At 50.1% G+C, this 20,268-nt stretch overlaps 1 protein-coding gene across 18 annotated transcripts in view, besides 2 other annotated features; it reads left to right on the top strand.

Moving 5' to 3' along the window:
• The window catches only part of CFAP65 (cilia and flagella associated protein 65), a 38,706-nt gene continuing 22,352 nt past the window's right edge, over positions 3,915-20,268 (top strand). For 2 of the 18 annotated variants that reach the window (XM_011510910.2, XM_011510903.2), the window contains exons 1-14: positions 3,950-4,043; positions 4,902-5,001; positions 6,416-6,570; positions 6,888-7,091; positions 9,802-9,986; positions 12,894-12,996; positions 13,808-13,977; positions 14,161-14,360; positions 14,632-14,777; positions 15,258-15,480; positions 15,798-16,063; positions 17,065-17,265; positions 17,457-17,816; positions 19,307-19,444. In XM_011510910.2, coding sequence (XP_011509212.1) covers position 5,001; positions 6,416-6,570; positions 6,888-7,091; positions 9,802-9,986; positions 12,894-12,996; positions 13,808-13,977; positions 14,161-14,360; positions 14,632-14,777; positions 15,258-15,480; positions 15,798-16,063; positions 17,065-17,265; positions 17,457-17,816; positions 19,307-19,444 — 2,352 coding nt within the window. In that variant the 5' untranslated portion in view covers positions 3,950-4,043; positions 4,902-5,000. Of the gene's footprint in view, positions 4,044-4,901; positions 5,002-5,867; positions 6,571-6,887; positions 7,092-9,801; positions 11,775-12,893; positions 12,997-13,807; positions 13,978-14,160; positions 14,361-14,631; positions 14,778-15,257; positions 15,481-15,797; positions 16,064-17,064; positions 17,266-17,456; positions 18,919-19,306; positions 19,445-20,268 lie in introns of those variants that run through there. The other 16 variants (XM_017003752.2, XM_017003753.2, XM_011510908.2 and 13 more) reach the window with 16 other exon arrangements.
• Positions 15,665-15,854: an enhancer, noted in NCBI's record as "active region_17138". NCBI's record gives its function as "activates an Ori minimal core promoter by ATAC-STARR-seq in GM12878 lymphoblastoid cells {active_cell/tissue: GM12878}" and the evidence as "EXISTENCE:reporter gene assay evidence [ECO:0000049][PMID:35858748]".
• Positions 19,706-20,206: an enhancer, noted in NCBI's record as "H3K4me1 hESC enhancer chr2:219889982-219890482 (GRCh37/hg19 assembly coordinates)". NCBI's record gives its function as "activates a minimal SCP1, AML or CMV promoter by ChIP-STARR-seq in naive H9 embryonic stem cells {active_cell/tissue: H9 hESC(naive)}" and the evidence as "EXISTENCE:reporter gene assay evidence [ECO:0000049][PMID:30033119]".

Here is a 20,268-nt window from a genome sequence, read left to right as displayed (position 1 = left end):
ATAGAGGGAGAAAGTTATCTATGAAGCCTGGTTTGCATAGGAGAATTAGAAAATCCTGGCCGGGCACAGTGGCTCATGCCTGTAATCCCAGCACTTTGGGAGGCTGAGGTGGGCGGATCACGAGGTCAGGAGATGGAGACCATCCTGGCTAACATGGTGAAACCCCGTCTCTACTAAAAATACAAAAAAAAAAAAAAAAAAAAAAATTAGCCGGGCGTGGTGGCGGGTGCCTGTAGTCCCAGCTACTGGGGAGGCTGAGGCAGGAGAATGGCGTGAATCTGGGAGGCGGAGCTTGCAGTGAGCCGAGATTGCGCCACCGCACTCCAGCCTGGGCGACAGAGCGAGACTCCACCTCAAAAAAAAAAAAAAAAAAAAAAGAAAGAAAGAAAGAAAAGAAAATCCTACAGGGGTCCCAGGCAGCAGAAAGGAATGCTTTCCTTTAAATTTTCTTGCCATTTGGCAGTCTATCCCCAAACCCTGACAGTTTTGGGTCCTGGCAGCCCTTTCAGGCTGGAGTTGCAACCAGTCTCTTAACACCCTCCAAAACAGTAGCTGCAGGGGACCATGACCCTCTAATGCAGAGAATGTCCTCTGTCTGCTCCTAGATCCAGCCCTAAACTACCCAGTGTCCCTCTTAGCTACAGCCTTTTCTCACTCTCTATCCCCCACCCTAGACTGGGCTGAGAACACTCACCTCACTCACTGCTGAGGACAGGAGCTTCTGTGGGAGGGCCTACCTTCTCTTTTTCTGTTTTTCTTTAAAGGTATACCTTTACATTTTATTTTATTTTATTTATTTTTTATTATACTTTAAGTACTAGGGTACATGCGCACAACGTGCAGGTTTGTTACATAGGTATACATGTGCCATGTTGGTTTGCTGCACCCATCAACTCATCATTTACATTAGGTATTTCTCCTAATGCTATCCCTCCTCCAGCCCCCACCCCCTGACCGGCCCCAGTGTGTGATGTTCCCCCCACTGTGTCCATGTGTTCTCATTGTTCAACTCCCACCTATGAGTGAGAACATGCAGTGTTTGGTTTTCTGTCCTTGTGATAGTTTGCTTATAATGATGGTTTCCAGCTTCATCCATGTCCCTGCAAAGGACATGAACTCATCTTTTTTTGTGGGGAGAGCCCACCTTTTCACCTCTATCCCTCAAGTACAAACTTGAACGCAAACTGATTCCAGAACCAACACTCAAAATGGAGTCAGAATCTCAGGATGGAGAAAGGCAAGAGAGGGCTTTCTAAGTGCTGGATCTGGGTGGACTTGTAACTGGATAGCCAGGCACCCTGGTGTCTCCTTTTGTCTTTTTCCACCCAGAGCAGCAAGGTAGGCTCCTTCTTGGAGAAACAAAGGAGGAGGACATGGAGATGGCAAAAACTTCCCACTTCTCCAGCATGCAGCCAAGAGGCTGGATGCTTGTAGGAGGCGCAAGTGCGCAGAAGGCTGAGTGGCTTACTTACAGAGACCTCCCATTTAGTGAATATTCTGTGTGTGTGTGTGTGTGTGTGTGTGTGTGTGTGTGTGTGTGTGTGTATGTGTGTGTGTGTGTGAGAGAGAGAGAGAGGTTTTGTTGATTGCCTACCATGTGTCAAGTACTTTACACATACCTTATCACCCAATTTTCCCACCTGCCTTTTGAGAATTATCCCCAGGTAACAGATGAGGAAACTGAAGCTCAGAGAGGTCATGTGACTTGCCCAAGGTCACACAGGCAGTTGGTAATAGAGTTGGGATTAATCTCAGGTCTGCCTGATTTCCCAGCCCTGGGTCTTCTCTATATGATGGGGGGCATAGAGGTGTGGGAAGATATCTGGGAAAAAGAAGCTTAGAAAAGGTATTTGTATGTGTGTCGAAGTTCAAATCATGGAGTGTGCTTTTACCTTTATTATTCCTCACACCAGCTTCCAGGCCAGGAGGATCTGAGGCCGTCTCCCTTCCATCCTTCCTCCCTTCTCCTACATCCTGATAATCAATTTTCTGTATTGTCACCCAGCCTTGAACCAAACAGCAAACCCTCCCCAGTGATTTTTTTTTTTTTTAAGATAGAGTTTCGCTCTGTCACCCAGGCTGGAGTGCAGTGGTGCGATCTCAGCTTACTGCGACCTCTGCCTCCCAGGTTAGAGCAATTATCTTGCCTCAGCCTCTCGAGTAACTGGGATTACAGGCATGAGCCACCATGCCCGACTAATGTTTATGTTTTTAGTAGAGGCACGGTTTCACCCTGTTGGTCAGGCTGGTCTTGAACTCCTGACCAAACTCCTGATCCACTAGCCTCCACCTCCCAAAGAGTGGGCATTACAGGTGTGAGCCACCGCACTTGGCTGCCTCTCCCATGATCTATTTTTGGGTCCAGGGAAAATATGATCAACAGGTCCCAGGACCCATTATTCCACTGGTTCTAGGCTCCTGGAAAGGGAGAGTTTCAAAGCAAACTCAGCTTCCTCTTTTCCCTCCTCAGGCTCAATCCCTTGTGAAGGCTCTTTCCATGTGTGTGCCTCCCTGGGCAAAGTCCAGCACACAGGCTTCTCCCTGGGAGTCCACTGATGTCAGCTGTGGTCACTAGGCATCAGGGCTTCTAGGAGGCAGCTAGACGCTTACAGAAGCAGAGGCTACAGGGGCCCTGCTAAGAGGAGGAACCATTCCCTTTAATTTTTCCAAACCCAGAATCCACCATTGAGCAGGCAAGAGCTCAGGAAGGAGACTCCCCGGTGAAGAGGCACGAGGACGCCTTTAGCATGAGCTGTGCTTCCTCCTTGGAGTTTTCCCACTGAGATTCCTGGGGCCAACACCAAACCCTGCCCCCAAAGTCCCTATTTCATTTTCGCCTAAGAATGAACCAGTTCCTTTCCTTGTCCTTAAGGTCCAGCTGAGTTAGGCTGACCATTTCAAAAAGAATTTGGGGAAAAACAAAAAGGAAATAATTATAGAAACTACAAACAGCATAAAAGTCGTCATGTCCAAAGTGCAGGTTTCAGATTCTGAGAATCCCATTAAATCCAGGGAAAAGCTCACTGAGTTCCACATTCTTTGATTCCCGGAAAACTCTTGATCCTGCTGGCGTAATTTACCAGGCGCCCTGCCTGCCCCTTCCCTCCAGCCCTGCCAGTCTCTGGCCATGTGATCTCCCAGGCCAGCTCAGGCCACTTTGCCATCTCAGTCCATCTTTCACCTTTCACAAGTCAACTCCAACTCTCCCAAAATGATAGCTTATTTTCTGTGTTTACCCCTAGACTCACTAAGCTCTCTCCCCCTAGTCACATCCCCCCTTCCATCTGAAAGGAAATAGGTTCACTGTCTTGAGGAGCAAAACATCCTTAGTTACCCAAGAGTGAACTTTGAGACTTTCAGCTTCACCTACTAAGGAGTCTTCACAAAATAGGACCCTTCCTCCAACACACATACCAACAAATGAACCAATGGGCTTCCGAAAGTCTACATTATGTATAATAATTCCTTTATACATTAACCTTCCGATCCCTTCAAAAGAGTTATTTTTCTTGTTGCTGACCAAGAAGAAATGCCGGGAGAAAACGCAGAGGACGCATTCCCTCTCATCAGCAAAAGGGTTCTATTTGCAAAGCAATATTCAAATAAGAAATAACTGCGGGCTGCTTTTAAGTTAACAATTGCAATCACAGAGAATGAGCTTCTGTCTCTATGCATGTCAGAGTGCCAAGCCCACAGAGTAGCTTCCTGTGAATTTGGTCGTCAATTAAAGTCATGATTGCTGGAACGTCACGACAACTAGGAGGCTCTACATTACCATGTCGCGACAGGTAGAAGCCCACAGTTACTACCAGCAGGAAAAGTCAGGGAATCAAAACTGAATATAGGAAATAAAATTGGGCGGTGCCTTCGCCTTCTACGAATCTTGACTTACTCGGGCTGCCGTCGTTGCCCTGGGATATCTGAAGACGCCGTTTCCTGCGCGTCCTGTATCTATGGAGACGGCAATATGGAGGCGATGTAAGTTCTGAGCGTTAGTCCCAAGGTCCCAGGGTCTCAGGGAGCGGCGCGAGTGGCCAGGGAAGGTATCTGTCCCGGGAGACCCTATCCTTCGGGAAATCGTGGCCAGAGGTCCCCTCCATGCCCTTCAGAGAGCCCCATGGGACTGAGTCTTGGGCGAGATCAATCAGACTAAGGATCCCGAAGAGAAAGAAGAAACAGCTCTAAGTGTATTTTGTCCCCCTTTGTTTCATCTATTTCTTTCTCCCTCGACTCTATACGACGACCTGCCACTTTTTCTAGTGGTCATCTTGGAGATTTTTAGATCAGCAATTAGGCAAATAAAGGAAGCTCATGATATATATTTTTTAAAGTCCTCGAAATTGGAAACTTCAATTTAAAACAAAACAAATCCAAAACAAAACAAAAAACCTCGCTTGCCCAGTCTCTTCACAACGACTGCAGATGTGTGAGTCTTTTGGAAGAATAGTGCAGGCTAGTGGGAAAGTTATGGTTGTTAATTACTATAACGTGTTTGTTTAGTGCTTTTTCAAATCCTCTGTTTCATTCGAGCTGCACATCGACTTTGTGAAATCGTCAGGATAACCCACATTTTACAGGCGAGGAGGCTGAGGCTCCGGGAGATGGAGAAATTTGCCTATCCCCGTAGAGTCTGAGAAGATGCTGGCACCCAGCGTCCCTTGCCCTGGGACCACTTCCCTAGCCCTATGACCTGTGTTGGACCAGCTTTCTACCCCATCATCTCTCATCTCTTCCATGCACTCTCTGGAATAGTTTCATGTGTTGAGTGGAGACTTTTTCAGAGCTCTGAGGCAGGAGCTGTCTGTACAGTCCCCTGAGGTCAGAGGCATTAATGAGTCAGGACAGGGCTGCAAGACCATCCCGTGGCAGAAAAGTAATGGACTCTCTCTGTGTCTCCTCAGCTTACATTTCTTTGATTTCATCTGAACGTCCAGTTCACAATTGGAGGTAGGAGCCTTGCCTGCCTTGTCTGGTGCCTAGCACAGTACCTGGTACATAATAGTAAGTGCTTTGTGAATGAACGAACGACTGAATCTAGATAGTCCCCTCCAGAGGGTTTAGACATGTTGCCAACTAGGAAAACCAGGGTCAACAGAATCTTCCGCTTTGGAAGGGTGTTGGTGGGTGGTGGGGGAGGGATAAGAGAGTGTCTGATGGAACTGTATAAATTCCTAAAGGGTGATCATGAAATTGTTTGCTAAATCTGAACACATTAAAATAAGGAACTAAACGACAAACTTGAAAAAGGATCATTTTAGGCCAAATAAATGGGCAAGTCACACGTAATCATAAACTGTTGTAAGAATTAAAATACCTGTAAGGGAGAATTGCTTGAACCTGGGAGGTGGAGGTTGCAGTGAGCCAAGATCTTGCCACTGCACTCCAGCCTGGGCAACAGAATGAGAGTCTGTCTTAAATAAATAAATAAATAAATAAATAAATAAATAAATAAAATCCCTCTAAGGACTTTACAACACTGCCTGGCACGTGGATTCTCAGTACATGTTAATAGACATTATTATTTTTGAGATTGTTATTTGAAGAAGTGAGGGAGGATACTGAGTAGTCTGAAAAATAAACATATGTTCAAAAAAGGTATTAAAGTGATGCTGTCCAATGTGGTAGCCAATAGCCATATGTAGCTATTCAGCACTGAAAATATGGGTAGTCCAAATTGAGATGTGCTGTAAATGTAAAATGCACACCAGATTTCAAAGTCTTAATACAAAATAAGAAAGTAAAGTACCTCAATAATTTCATATCGATTACATATTCAATGTAGTATTTTTGATATGATGGGTTAAATAAAATATATCATTATAATTAATTTTACCTGTGTCTTTTTACTTTTTTAATGTGGCTACCAGAATGTTTTAAAGTACACATGTGGATTGCATTATATTTTGGGGGGCAGTGCCATGTTCTATGATTTCATGCATGATGGCTTCATGTCAAGTGTAAAGGGAAATCAGAGATGAACCATTTGAGGTAAGTCATTATAGGGATCTGCAAACCACTTCCACATGTGCCTGAGTGGGGCTGGCTTAGTCTTGGTGTGTGAGTGTGAAAATTGCTGTCCTTTTGTCGAGGTAACAAAGTCACACTTGAGTGTGTGTGCTAAAAGAAGCCAGCTAAAGGAAGAGGGGATTCGAGGTGAGGGAGCCAGAGCTAGTCTGAGATACTTTGTGTGCCTTAGATTGAGGTCAAGCATCCTCTTGAGCATTTGGTGAAAACTGTGGCCATTCCTCCTGGAAAACAGACATGTATGCATACATAGCATCTGGCATATACATAGCATCTGGCATATATACAAATATATGTGCCACATATATTTGCATATGATTTCAGCTACAGTCATCGAGGATCCCTCTGCTCTGGAGATGGATTGACTTATGCTTTGATTGATTTATTTCAGTGATGTTTACCTTAACCGGTTGTAGACTGGTGGAGAAAACCCAGAAGGTGGAGAATCCATCAGTCTCATTTGCCTCTTCTTTCCCCCTTATTCCTCTTCTCCTAAGAGGCAAGAGTGTTCAGAAGAAACAAGCAGAGAGTAAAAGCCAGATAAAGGTAATGCACACACTTCAGTAACACCCACTGGAGCTTGCTGAGCAGTGCCAAGTGTGGCCATGGAGGGGCCTAGTGGGGTGGGCCTTGTCCCCAAGTCCCTCTTTGGAGTGCCTTCCCTGAGGGTGAGTCCCTGGGCTCCCAGGCAAAGCCCTGGATCTCGTGTACAGCCTCATTCCTCATGGTGCCAGGTAGCACCTGTTGCCAGAGCTGGGAAGCAGACCCTCTCCTCCATGACAAGGATGGCCATGAGAGTCTCCTCCCTCAGCCTCTCTTTCTCATGTCACTCCTGTCTCCTCTCCCCTCTGCTCTCTTCCCAGCTCCATACTCAGAGTGCTCCCTTTGGACTGTGTCCCAAGGACATGATGCTCACCCAGGCTCCAAGCTCCGTCGTGAGGTCCAGGAACAGCAGGAACCACACCGTGAACTCTGGTGGATCCTGCCTGAGTGCCAGCACAGTGGCCATCCCTGCCATCAACGACAGCAGTGCAGCCATGAGTGCCTGCAGCACCATCAGCGCCCAGGTAAGGATACAGCCAGGGCAGGCAGAGCAGGGTGTGGCAGGGCCAGGGCGGGGCATGGGTGGCAGGGCAGTGGGGTGGGAATCTTGAGAGGCCCTGACTCTTCCCTCTGCATCTGAGCACTAGACCTTGTCTAGACTTTCCTTGTCACCTTTCTTCCATGAGTCACTCAGGAAAGAAAATACTATATTGGCCATCGAACACACTCAGTAAATATTGAAACTGAGAATGTAAGCTCCAAGGGAAAAGGGATTTGTCAGTCCTGTTCACCATTGTTATCACCAAGCACACTGGAGTGCTGGGAGCAGTGAGTGCCTGAGAGGCCGTGGGGTAGGAGAGTGCCAGGGAGGAACGAGTCAGAGGCTGGTTGGATAGCCAGGATTTCTCTTTCCTCAGGAAGTTCTTCCGGCCTTGACCCCTAGGACTTTGTGTTTGACCAATAATGTATGGATACTGTTTACTTTTTGCAGCTCTTTGTAGTTCTCTCTATGTGATGATGCAGCTGTCCAGGGGTTTGACTATGGGTATGGCTTTGTGTATGATGCAGTGTGTGTCTGTGTTGTATGGTGTATGGTGCCCAGCTCCTTAGGTGTGCTGCCCTTGCCTCCCTGTGGACTGAGGGTCATGTTTTAAAAGACATCTCTGTCCTCTGTGCCATTCCGGGCCTGTTTGCCCTTGGATTCACTCACTGCCCTTCCCTGCTCTGCTCTGAGCTAGGAGGAGATTGGAAGATGGGATGAAGGGAGAAGCCAGGGCATTTCTCTTCTCTTCCTCTCTCTGTTGTACACAGTGTCTCTGTCAGCAGCTGCATTTCCCCTGTGGCTCCAGTTCCCACCAGACAGGCCTCAAGGCTGTATTGACCCCACCACTTCTAACCTAGGTGCGGTGGCAGCTTCTTGTTGCCAACTCCCAGGTTCCTTCACTACTCATGGTTATGCAGTAAATTTCCTTGTTGTTGTTGTTTGTTTGTTTGTTTTTCTTTTTTTGAGACGGAATCTCACACTGTCACCAGGGCTGGAGTGCAATGGTGCAATCTCAGCTCACTGCAACCTCCGCCTCCGGGGTTTAAGCGATTCTGCTGCCTCAGCCTCCCAAGTAGCTGGGATTACAGGCGCCTGCTACCATGCCCGGCTAATTTTTTGTATTTTTAGTAGAGACGGGGGTTTCACCATATTGGCCAGGCTGGTCTCGAACTCCTGACTTCGTGATTCACCCACCTCAGCCTCCCAAAATGCTGGGATTACAGGCGTGAGCCACTGCACCCGGCCACAGTAAATTCCCTATTTTAAACATTCAGAGTGGCTTCCGTTTTCCTGCCTAGACACTGACTGATGCACCAACTGATATTATAGTAAATTACCTCCCATCATGCATGTCACCTTTCTTCCATAGGTGACTCAGGAAAGAAAATAGTATATTGGCCATCAGACACACTCAGTAAATATTGAAACTGAGAATGTAAGCTCCAAGAGAAAAGGGATTTGTCAGTCCTGTTCACCATTGTAGTCCCAGCACCTAGCACAGTGTCCGGTGCATGATAGGTACTCAAAAAATATTTGTTGAATGAATGACTATATCCTTATATTATGCAACAATATAAAAGCAATACTTGGTCAAAGATAAAATAAAATGCTGGCCGGGCATGATGGCTCACACCTGTAATCCCAGCTCTTTGGGAGGCCAAGGTGGGTGGATCACCTGAGGTCAGGAGTTCAAGACCTGCCTGACCAACATGGTGAAACCCCATCTCTACAGAAATACAAAAATCAGCCAGGCATGATGGCGGGTGCCTGTAATCCCAGCTACTCGGGAAGCTAAGGCGAGAAAATCACTTGAACCTGGGAGGCAGAGGTTGCAGTGAGCCGAGATTGTGCCATTATACTGCAGCCTGGGCGATAAAGCGAGACTCTTACAATTAAAAAAAAAAAAAAAAGATAAAATGCCAATGAGTTGAGTGCGCATGGCAGTGACTGTGGTTGGAGGAGGCATCCAGTTCATCCTCCCTCCACCTTACTGCCCCAGGGGGGTTTCCATGCCCCCTCCTTCTTCATCTAGAAAGGGGTGATGGATAAGCCTATGGAAAGATTTTCCATTATAGATGGAGACGCCGCACATGGCAGCACTAGCATCAATCACCAGGAGCAGCACTTGGAGTGGCCCCAGAAGGCAGGGGATGGGTGGGGTGAACAGCAAGCAAATTGGCTCCTCCTCTGCCCCACCAGCCAATTGAGGAATGGGAGAGGGAATGGTGCAGAGGGAAATGTGGTCTGGAAAAGGGCCTGGGATAGACTGCTCTAGCTAGGAGAGGCATGTGTAGCAAGGGGCAGGACTGGGAGGAGGAAGAGGGGAGGAGGCACCTGATGGGGTGCTATCTGAGGGTGCACTGAGGAACAGAACAGAAGCCTGCATTTGTGTGTTTGCACAGAGTGGCTGATGGAGCCGCCCAGGGAAGGCTTCAGGGGCAGGGGCTCTAGTTGCAAAACAGTTCCAGTCTTGGAAGACGTGATGTCTGACTTCAGGGCCTACCTGCCTCTCACCATCTGTCTCCAGACCATCCCCAAGGGGTGAGGGGTGGTGTCAATCATCGTTTTTCTTCTTGTCTTTTATTTTCTTGGTGGTGGAGGACGAAGACCTTCACCTGTTCTCTGGGTCTTGGCATCCCACCCTGCTGATACATCCTTTCTGCTCCCCCTTCTCCCTGCCACCTGAACAGCCCGCAAGCTCCATGGACACTCAGATGCACTCCCCAAAGAAGCAGGAGAGAGTGAACAAGAGGGTCATCTGGGGCATTGAGGTGGCTGAGGAGCTGCATTGGAAAGGCTGGGAGCTAGGAAAGGAGACCACAAGGAATCTGGTTCTGAAAAATCGATCCTTGAAACTCCAGAAGATGAAGTACAGGTACCAGTATAAGGGATCAAGGACCCAGTGCCACAGCCTTGAGCCCCGAAAGCAGGCTCTCTTCAAAACAAAACAAAACAAACAAAAAAAACCTTTAACATGCCATATAAAAGCCAGTGAGTGTTTAAAATACGTGCAGTATGAATAATTATGCAGCTATAATCCATTATTTTTCATTGTGGTATAGTGTCCCAATGTGTGCCTGTACCATAATGTATTCATCCAGAATGAAGGAAGTTTGGGCTGTTTCTATTTGGGACTGTTGGCATTCGTGTATATGTGTCCAGTTACATAAGTACAAGAGTTTTTCTGGGGAATACCAGGTACTATGAAGGCTCACGTGATTTTGGAGTCTTATGAAGGTTTTTTTTTTTTTTTTCCTGCGTAGTTGTTAAATTGGTGACCTTGCGGGATGGAACCTTCTATTCCACCACCTTGCTCCACCTTCTGTCTTTTCTGGGGAATAGACGCAGGAGTAGAATTGCGGAGGCTTGGGCCATGTACCTGTTCACTTGCTGTAGATAAACCAAACTATTTCCCAAAGTGCATGGATTTCTTTAGACACCCACCAGCAGCATTAGAGAGTTCCCATTCCTCCACATCCTTACCAATAACTGCTATTGTCAGAATTTAAAATTTTTGCCAGTAATGGTAACTTGTGGTTTTAATTTGCATTTCCCTGATTACTAATGAATGAGGATGAGTGTCTTTTTGTAGGTTATTGACACTTTGCATTTCTTCATGTGTGAAATTTATGATCAAGTCTGTGGCCATTTTTCTCTTACATTATCTTGTCTTTTTTCTTTTTGGTATAAGTTCTTATCCCAATTACAAACTCTTTGCCAGTTATGCGTTGTGGATATCTTCTCTCATCTTATGATTTGTCTTTACTCCCTTTATTGTGTCTTTTGAAGAATAAAAGTTCAAAGTTGAATTTTAAAGGTATCAACTTTATCAGTCTTTTTATTTTATGATTGGTGCTTTTTTATGCTTCTCCTAAGAAGTCCTTCTCTACCCCTAGGTCATTAAGATATTTTCCTCTAGTATCTTCTAAAGACTTTATATTTTTGCCTTTTATATTTGTCTTTTGTCTATATGGAATTGATTTTTATGAATAGTAAGTCTTGATAGCTGGTAGTATACGTCCTCCTACTTAATTCTTCTTCAAGATTGTCTTGGCTATTCTTGGCCCTCCCTTTGATCTCTTACATAAATATTCAAATCAGCTTATCATACATGCACATAAAACACTTCTTGAGATTTTGATTGGGATTTAATTGGACCTATAGATGAATATGAGGAGAAATGATATCATTATAATATTGAGTCTTTTACTCCATGAACATGGGCTATTTCTGTATTCATTAGGTTATCTTTCCTGTCTCTCAATAGAGTGTAAAGTTTTCTCCATAGACATTTAGCACATCCTTAGTTAGATTTATTCATAAGTATTTTATATTTTTGCTGTTGTTATATATGACATATTTTTTAGTTGTTTTATTTCTGTTTGTTGCTAGTTTTTAAAATGTCATTTTTATATAGGTATTATGTTCAGTGATCTTGGCAAATCCTCTTATTCTAATAATTTATTTGTTAATTTTCTTGTTTTTTCATGCACACATTTGTATTTTAAATGGAAAATGACATTTTTTTTTCTTTCTAGTCCTTACACCTTTGGCTTTCCTTACTGCATTGTTAAATAGAAAAGTGTTGAACAGAAGTGGTTATAGAGGCATCTTTGTTTTGTTTATCATCTCAGAGTAAAGGACTGCAATGTTTCACTATTAAGCTGTCTGGTAGGATTGATTTTCTGTAGGGTTTCTGTAAAAGTGTACACCTTGTCAGATTATGGGAATATTCTTCTATTCCTGCTTTGCTGAGAGTCTTTCTCATAAACACACATTAAAGTTTATCTAATTTCTTCTTTCTTTTTTTTCTTTCTTTTCTTCCTCTCTCTCTTTCTTTCTCTTTCTTTTCTTTCTTTTCTTTCTTTCTTGTTTTTTTGAGACAGGGTCTCACTCCCTTGCCCAGGCTGGAGTATAGTGGCATTAACATGGCTAACTGTAGCCATGACCTCCTAGGCTCAAGCAATCCTCCTTCCTCAGCCTCTCAGGTAGCTGGGACTGTAGGCATGCACCACCATGCCTGGCTAATTTTTTAAAAAAAATTTTGGTATAGACAGCATCTTGCCATGTTGCCCAGGGTGGTCTCAAACACCTGGGTCAAATGATACTCCCGCCTTAGCCTCTCAAAGTGCTGGGATTCCAGATGTGAGGCACTGTGCCTGGCCTGTGGAAAGATTTTTGACCACTCATTCCATTTCTTTGGTGTTTTTAGGCAGAGCAGCCATAATATTTATTGTACAATTCTTGGGTCAGTTTTGGTAAATTATATTTTATAGCAATTTTTTTCATCTAAATTTAAACATTTGTTGGTGTAAAGTTGCTGACAATGTCATTGTCTTATTAATGTTTTGAAAGTCTGCAGCAGCTGTGGTTCTGACCCACTGTGGGATGCTACAGCTCTGCTGAGGTCTCTGGAAAGGCATCCCCGGTCCCACCCTCCTCAGCCTTGGTTCCCCCACCTCAGTGCTTGCGGACTCTTTAAAATCTGGGTAACCCTTCACTGTCCCTGTCCCTCTCAGGCCTCCATGCTCATCAGAGGTACAAACACTACTCCCCTTTTGTTCAGAGTGAAGATCTCTGAGAATAGGAGGGGGAGGAGGAGGGTGGGTCCTCTTGTGACCAAACCCCTGAGTTTCCATCTCCACGTGCTCATCTCCTGATCGCTTTCTCTGTGGTCCCAGGGACTCAAGCTCCCTTGGCTGCAGGGCTTCCCTCGTTTCCTGCCTCTTCCAGTTGTTCTGAGCCCTGATCTGAGGTGCTCCCCACCGGCTCTCTCCTGCAGGCCCCCCAAGACCAAGTTCTTCTTCACGGTCATCCCTCAGCCCATCTTCCTGAGCCCAGGCATAACCCTCACGCTCCCCATCGTCTTCCGGCCTCTGGAGGCGGTAAGGTCTGCCACAGCGAGTGAGGGCAGGGAGGTACCTGGGAGCAGTGACCTCAGAACAGAAAACAGGACAGAGCAACCAGGAGCGCCCCGGCACACACACATGCTGCCCGCTCCAGCAGCAATCCAGCTTGGGAGGCCCCGTCAAGGGCTTAGCCCCTCATCTCATTAGACAGAGGGCGTTCCCCAGGAGATGCTGGGGGTAAAGGCTGCGATATTATATTGGCCATCAGAAAGTCCTACATTCCGTGGCCGGGGACGGTGACTGACTTCTGGAATCTCAGCACTTTGGGAGGCCGAGGCAGGCAGGTCACTTGAGGCCAGGAGTTCGAGACCAGCCTGGCCGACATGGCGAAACCCCACCTCTACTAAAAAATACAAAAGTTAACCAGGCATGGTGGCACATGCCTGTAGTCCCAGCTACTTGGGAGGCTGAGGCAGCAGAATCACTTGAACCGGGAGGCGGCTGTTGCAGTGAGCTGAGATCTCACCACTGCACTCCAGCCTGGGTGACAGAGCGAGACTCAAAAAAAAAAAAAAAAAAAGAAAAGAAAAGAAACCCCTTCTACATTCCTTGGCCTCTTCCTGCCACTCCCCACCCACATTTCCTCAAAATACTTTTTCCACAAAAGAGGCTCTAATGTTTGAGACCAAGACAACATAGGTGCCCAGCTCCCCTCAGAGTCTGACGTGGGTGCCACGGCCTGGCCCTCCCCTCAGCGGTTGTGTTGGGGGTGGCTGAGGGTGGGCGGGATGTGCAGTCCCTGAATGCCACTGATGGGTGACTGCCCCTGCCCCGCCTCACACTGCAGAAGGAGTACATGGACCAGCTGTGGTTTGAGAAAGCGGAGGGGATGTTCTGTGTCGGCCTACGGGCCACCCTGCCCTGCCACAGGCTGATCTGCCGCCCACCATCCCTGCAGCTGCCCATGTGTGCTGTGGGAGATACGACTGAGGCCTTTTTCTGCCTGGATAATGTGGGGTGAGGAAGAGGCTGAGGTGCGGCGGGGAGAGCAAGAGCTGTGAGGAGGGTGTCTGGAAGCAGGAGAGACAGGCATACCCTTGTCGGGGTAGGGTAGTCTGAGGTTCTGCCCAGCATCCCTGACTTGCTACTGCAGGAGCAGGGGCCGGGAGCCCAGTGCCCTGACCTGCCCCCCACCCCCAGGGACCTGCCCACCTTCTTCACCTGGGAGTTCTCCAGCCCATTCCAGATGCTGCCCGCCACGGGGCTCCTGGAGCCAGGCCAGGCCTCTCAGATCAAGGTGACCTTTCAGCCCCTTACAGCCGTCATCTACGAGGTGCAGGCCACGTGCTGGTACGGGGCGGGCAGCCGGCAGAGGAGCAGCATCCAGCTGCAGGCTGTGGGTGAGGCCCAACCTCCCACCGTCCCCAGACTGGCCCCTCCTGCACCTTCTGGGTCCTCCAGGCCTCAGTGTCCCCCACCTCCCATCTGGCCTGGCCCCCGCCTCCACCGGCCTCCTGCCCTCCCCCAAGCCCAGAAGGCTTTGCCTTTTGTCTTCCATGATGTTACAGGCTAAATTTTCCCTGGGGCCACCTGCCTTCTTCGAGGGGCTGTTCAGCTGGGGCCACAGAGGCCCTGGTGGGTTCCCCCAAGACTCCCCCATCTCTGCCCCAGCCAAGTGCGCCCAGCTGCTGGTGAGCATAAAGCACAAGTGCCCGGAGGACCAGGATGCCGAGGGCTTCCAGAAGCTGTTGTACTTTGGCTCTGTTGCTGTGGGCTGCACCTCGGAGAGGCAGATCAGGCTACACAACCCGTCGGCGGTAGGCACCAGGCAGGAGGGGCGGCAGGACTCACGCCCCCAGGATTGGAATTTCCTAAAATCACCGCCTTGCAGAATGCCCCCCCTTTCTCTCCATGCCTTTGGCCCCAAGCCTCATGTAACCCATGTCAGCTGTCAACAGGTGTGTCCTTCTCCTCAGCTGGGGGCTGGGCTGGGGTATACCCTGGCTCCCCAGAGCCACGAGCAGCCCTAAGACTGTCCTGACCCCAGGACCACAGTTAGCTGTGATGGTACCCTGGGGAGAATTAAAAGGTGCCCCCTTTGGGCAGGCCCAGCGCAGGGCACATGACTCGGTCCCTTCTCTCCTCCTGGTGGAGGCAGTCTGGCCAGTGGGGCACAGGCTGGATGCCAGCTGCCCCCACCCCCTTGGCTAGGCACGCCAGTACAATGCGTAGACTGTCCCATCATACAGTGCTCTGCTCTGTGACCTGACCCTTTGTCCTTCTGCTTGGCCACACAGGTAAATGCCCCCTTCAGGATTGAAATTTCCCCGGATGAACTGGCCGAAGACCAGGCCTTCTCATGCCCCACGGCCCATGGCATCGTGCTTCCGGGAGAGAAGAAATGTGTGTCGGTGTTCTTCCACCCCAAGACTCTGGACACCAGAACTGTGGACTACTGCTCCATCATGCCTTCTGGCTGTGCCTCCAAGACCCTGCTTAAAGTCGTTGGTTTCTGTAGAGGTACCGGTGACCCCAGGGGCCTCCCCTGGGGACAGGAGCAGCCCCTGCTGAGGATTCTGAAGAGCTCCTTCCCTGCTCCTAGGAGGCGGGGCCACCTTGCCTCAGCCTGGGTGTCTGCTGCCCCCTGGTGGCCCTGTGGGGAATCATCCGTGACTACCTGGAGATCCCAGTCCCACTGGCATCCAGTGATGCTGGAGTTCTGCTCAGGCTGCCAGGGCTCTGGGCCTGTAGCCTGGCCCTGAGAGTACCACCTCCCTTCAGTGGAACTTTGTCTAAGATATCCTTGGGGAAGCTGATACCCCATCTCCTGTGTCCAGGCCCTGCTGTGTCCCTGCAGCACTACTGTGTCAACTTCAGCTGGGTCAACCTTGGGGAGCGCTCCGAGCAGCCCCTGTGGATTGAGAACCAATCGGACTGCACGGCCCACTTCCAGTTTGCCATCGACTGCTTGGAGAGTGTCTTTACCATCAGGCCTGCCTTTGGGACGCTGGTGGGCAAGGCCCGTATGACCCTGCACTGTGCCTTCCAGCCCACTCACCCCATCATCTGCTTTCGGCGTGTGGCCTGTCTCATCCACCACCAGGTGAGTCGTGGGGAGGGCATGAGGCTGAGGGAGGAGGGGCTCCCCTGGGGCCCACTGATGATGACAAGGCTTGGTGGGCACTTCCCTGTATTCTGGAACTTCTAGGGCTGTCTGCCTGGTGGTCTCCCACTCCTGGGCCCCAGCCCTGGCTTTTGGAGCCAGTGTGCAGCCTGGGCACAGGGCAGATCACTCTGTGCCAGTCTTGCCCTGCTACCAGGCCAGGCGCTTTGCTGCTGCTGTGCTCATGGGCTGGGAGAGGGAGGCTTGGACTCGCAGCCTCCCACCCTCCCGCTGAGCCCTGCAGGCTTTGCCTTTTCTTTGCCTTCCATGACTTCACAGACTAATTCTTCCCTGGAGCCACCCCACATAGCATGCATAGGGCAGAGAGCTTTCAAGTTAGACCCCAACCCTAGGTCCCTGGGCATGATCAGACACATTGTGCCCTGACCAGCAGGTGCCTGGCCAAGATGGCAAACGGGGCTGAAATGTAACCCATGATCCCTCCCTGAGCTGGTGCCCAGGCTTGGGCTGTGTCTGTGTACCTGGAGGAATGGGTGCCTTTCTCTAATTCTTGTGACAGTTTAGTATGGGCTGGGGGAGGCCTTGGAAATGGAGGAAAGAACAGAAGCCCAGAGGGAGGCCTGATGAGGCAGCCCCCCATATTCTCCTCCCTTGGGAGGGCCTGAATTCTAGTTTGGCAGGCCTCTGGGCTGGCAGTAGGGTGGGTGGGAGAATGCCCAGGGGCCATGGCAGAGAGGAAGGGTGGGTAATGGCTGAGTGTCCTAAGGACCGGGGTGCTCTCTCCTGACCTTCCCTGGACTCCTGCTGTGCCCTGGCTGAGCCAGACCACTGCTGAGTGCTTGCTCACTGGCCACCTGGAGCTTCTGCCCCACTGCCTCTGTTATCCTGTCTGCCCAGCTTCTGTCCTCAGTTCAACCCCCAGCACCCCCCTTGCCCTACCACCCCTCCCATGCCCCACCACACACAGACAAATGTCACAGGACCCACTGTTCCTGGACCTGATGGGGACCTGCCACTCGGACAGCACCAAGCCAGCCATCCTGAAGCCTCAGCACCTCACCTGGTACCGCACACACCTGGCCCGGGGCCTGACGCTCTACCCCCCTGACATCCTGGATGCCATGCTGAAGGAGAAGAAGCTGGCACAGGACCAGAACGGGGCTCTCATGATTCCCATCCAGGTACAGTGCCCTCCCCAGCTGCATATCCCTTCTCTAGTGATTCTTGGGCAATCCCATGCCCCCAGGGTCCCATGGGCACCATTAGTAGTCAGGGCGACTGGTGTAGCCTTTCTAGACAGGAGTGTACCCAGGAGGGGCAACAGCAAGAGGAATGGCAGTTGAGCCCTATCCACCTGTCTTTCCCCATGCAGGATCTGGAGGACATGCCGGCCCCGCAGTACCCTTATATCCCCCCCATGACCGAGTTCTTCTTCGACGGCACCAGCGACATAACCATCTTCCCCCCGCCCATCAGTGTAGAGCCTGTCGAGGTAGACTTCGGTGCCTGCCCAGGGCCTGAGGCCCCCAACCCTGTACCCCTGTGCCTGATGAACCACACCAAGGGCAAGATCATGGTGGTCTGGACGCGAAGGTCTGACTGCCCCTTCTGGGTGACTCCAGAGAGCTGCGACGTGCCCCCACTCAAGTCCATGGCCATGCGCCTGCACTTCCAGCCGCCTCACCCCAACTGCCTTTACACGGTGGAGCTCGAAGCCTTCGCCATCTATAAGGTGTGTGCACGCAATGAGAGGGAGGAATGCGGGGTCTCTGCTAGGAGCCTGAGTGGCTTGGTGGGGTGGCAGGAAGTGACCGAGGGCAGCTTCAGGCTCCATCCTCTGCGTGCCAGGCTTTCTCTTGGCTGGACAGTGACCCCTATGAGTTTGTCTCCTCCAAAGCTCCTGGCCTAGCTCGGCCCATCTGATTTTCTCATTCTTATGTAAGTCTCCCCTCCCCTCCAAGGGAGAACTCAGCTGAGATCAAGCTGTTTGGGAAAACTGGGTGCACAGGGAGATACTCCCTGGGGCTCCTGGCTAGGAGGCCTCCTAGCTTCTCTACTAGTCCTTGAATTAAGAAGTGGTCACTCTAAAGGAGCTTTGAGCGGGCAGGAAGCTGGGCCTAGAGACAAAGTCAGCAGCACCAGATAATTGTGATGGAAAGGGCTTCTGACTCAGCTTCCCTGGGTCGGGAACTCCGAGTGCCGGCTGTCCCCAGCCCTGCTGTTCTGGCCCCAGATGCGTGGTGCCCCCTCCTCATCCGTTAGTCCTGCCCATCCCTTCCTTCTTGACTCTGCCCACCCCACTGCCCTTGCCCAGAGGCCAAGGTCTTGGGGCCCAGAGAAAAGTAGGGCTGTGCGGTCAAGATCAGGGTCACTTACCAGCTATGTGACCTTGGGCAAGTTCCTTAATGTCTCTGAGTCCTGATCTTTTCATCTCTAAACTTGGGACCACGTCCGATCTTTTGAGGAGGCTTTCCAAAGTGGAGGCTTTGGTTGCCCCCGTCCTAATGCTCTGGCAGTGGGGTGATGTTGAGGTTTGTAGGAATAAGGTTGTAGATGCCTGGCTCTGCTGAGGTTCAGCCTGTCAGATATTTAGGTTACAGGCTCTAGACCTGCACAGTCCAGTACAGCCACTGACAGCCACACGTGGCTACTGAGCTTTTAATATGTGGCTGGTCCCAATTGAGACGTGCCGTGAGTGTAAAATGCACCCTGGATTTCAAGACTTAGTATGAAAAGAATGTAAAATACCTCGTTACTAATTTTATATTGGTTATATGTTAAAGTGATAAGATTTTAGATCTGTTGGGTTAAATAAAATATACTATTAACATTAACTTCACGTGTTTTACTTTTTTAATGTGGCTACTGAACATCTAAAATGACATTTGCGGCTGGCATTTGTGGCTCACGTGATATTTCTATTGGCCAGCGCTTCTCTAGGCTCATTCTTACAGAATGAATGGTGCTTTCACATCCCAGCCCCACCCTCCTCCCGGGTTGTGAGGACTAAAGAGAGCATTGCTATATGGATGCAGGGCCTAGCTCCCCGCAGGAGGGGCTGGGTTGGGATTCTTGTTCTCTGCACTGTCTTCCCAGGGAGGCCCTCCTGTCTGTGTCCAATGTCAGACTCCTGCAGCACAAGGGCAAGGAGGGGCAAAATGGGGTGCCCCACAGGGCAGACACAGGACTCTGAGCTTTTCCGTGGGTCTGGCCCCTCTGCAGGTCCTGCAGAGCTACAGTAATATTGAGGAGGACTGCACCATGTGCCCATCCTGGTGCCTGACGGTGCGGGCACGAGGCCACAGCTATTTCGCTGGCTTTGAGCACCACATCCCCCAGTATTCCCTAGATGTCCCCAAGGTAAGCGTGGCCCCAACAGCAGTGGGAGGGAGACAGGGGAGCCCTAGCTTCTGCCTTGGCCTGCAGATCCCTCTCCCATTCTCTGATGGCCTCAGAAACACATCTTTGCACCCTCCCTGGCTGTCCCCACGTCCGCTGTGCCAATTCTGGGTATCTGGGCCGGCTGAGGACTTGCTCCTGGGCCCCGACACTGGGACTGGGGAGAGTCTGGATCCTGGACAGCTGGCCCCTTGCTGCTCCATTGGAAATACTCACTGGCTCCTATGACTCTCAGGTTCAAAACCCTCCAGCTCCTGCATTTGTTTGTGTCCTGTTTACTGAATGCCTGGGTGCCCCAAGTCCTGGGCTCGGGCCCAGGGATATGACAGCCGCACCAGCAGCCCCTGCCTTTGGGAAGCACCCTGCCCTATGAGAGGCAGAGCCAGCCCCATCCTCAGGAGATCATAATTCCCAGGCCACCCCAAGGCCCTTAGAAGCCCTGCCTGACCTGACAAGCAAGAGGACATAGGGCTGAAAAGCACAGAGCCTGGGGCCAGACCGCCGGCTTCCAATCCAGTTTCACCTTTGATGTCTCCTCCAGTCTCCATCGCCTGGAGGTTTTGCATTAGACTTCTGGTTGCTGGAAAAGCACCACTTTGGGACAATGTGCTTTGGGTTGATTCTGTTCCCCCTACCACCTACACTTCTGCCCTCCTATCCCAAACATATACCACCCCAAGATTCAGCTTAGAGGCAGCTGCTTCCCAAAGGCCTTCCTGCCTCACAGAGTCCCCCTCGATGTCTCCCTCGGCCCCCTTCCCTTGGCAGTTCCTCCTGGTGGGTTG

This window comes from Homo sapiens, chromosome 2 (genome assembly GCF_000001405.40).
Source record: "Homo sapiens chromosome 2, GRCh38.p14 Primary Assembly".
NCBI classification, from domain to species: domain Eukaryota; kingdom Metazoa; phylum Chordata; class Mammalia; order Primates; family Hominidae; genus Homo; species Homo sapiens.
The sequence above is the reverse complement of the archived record's forward strand: the minus strand, read 5'-3'. Positions and strand labels throughout refer to the sequence as shown.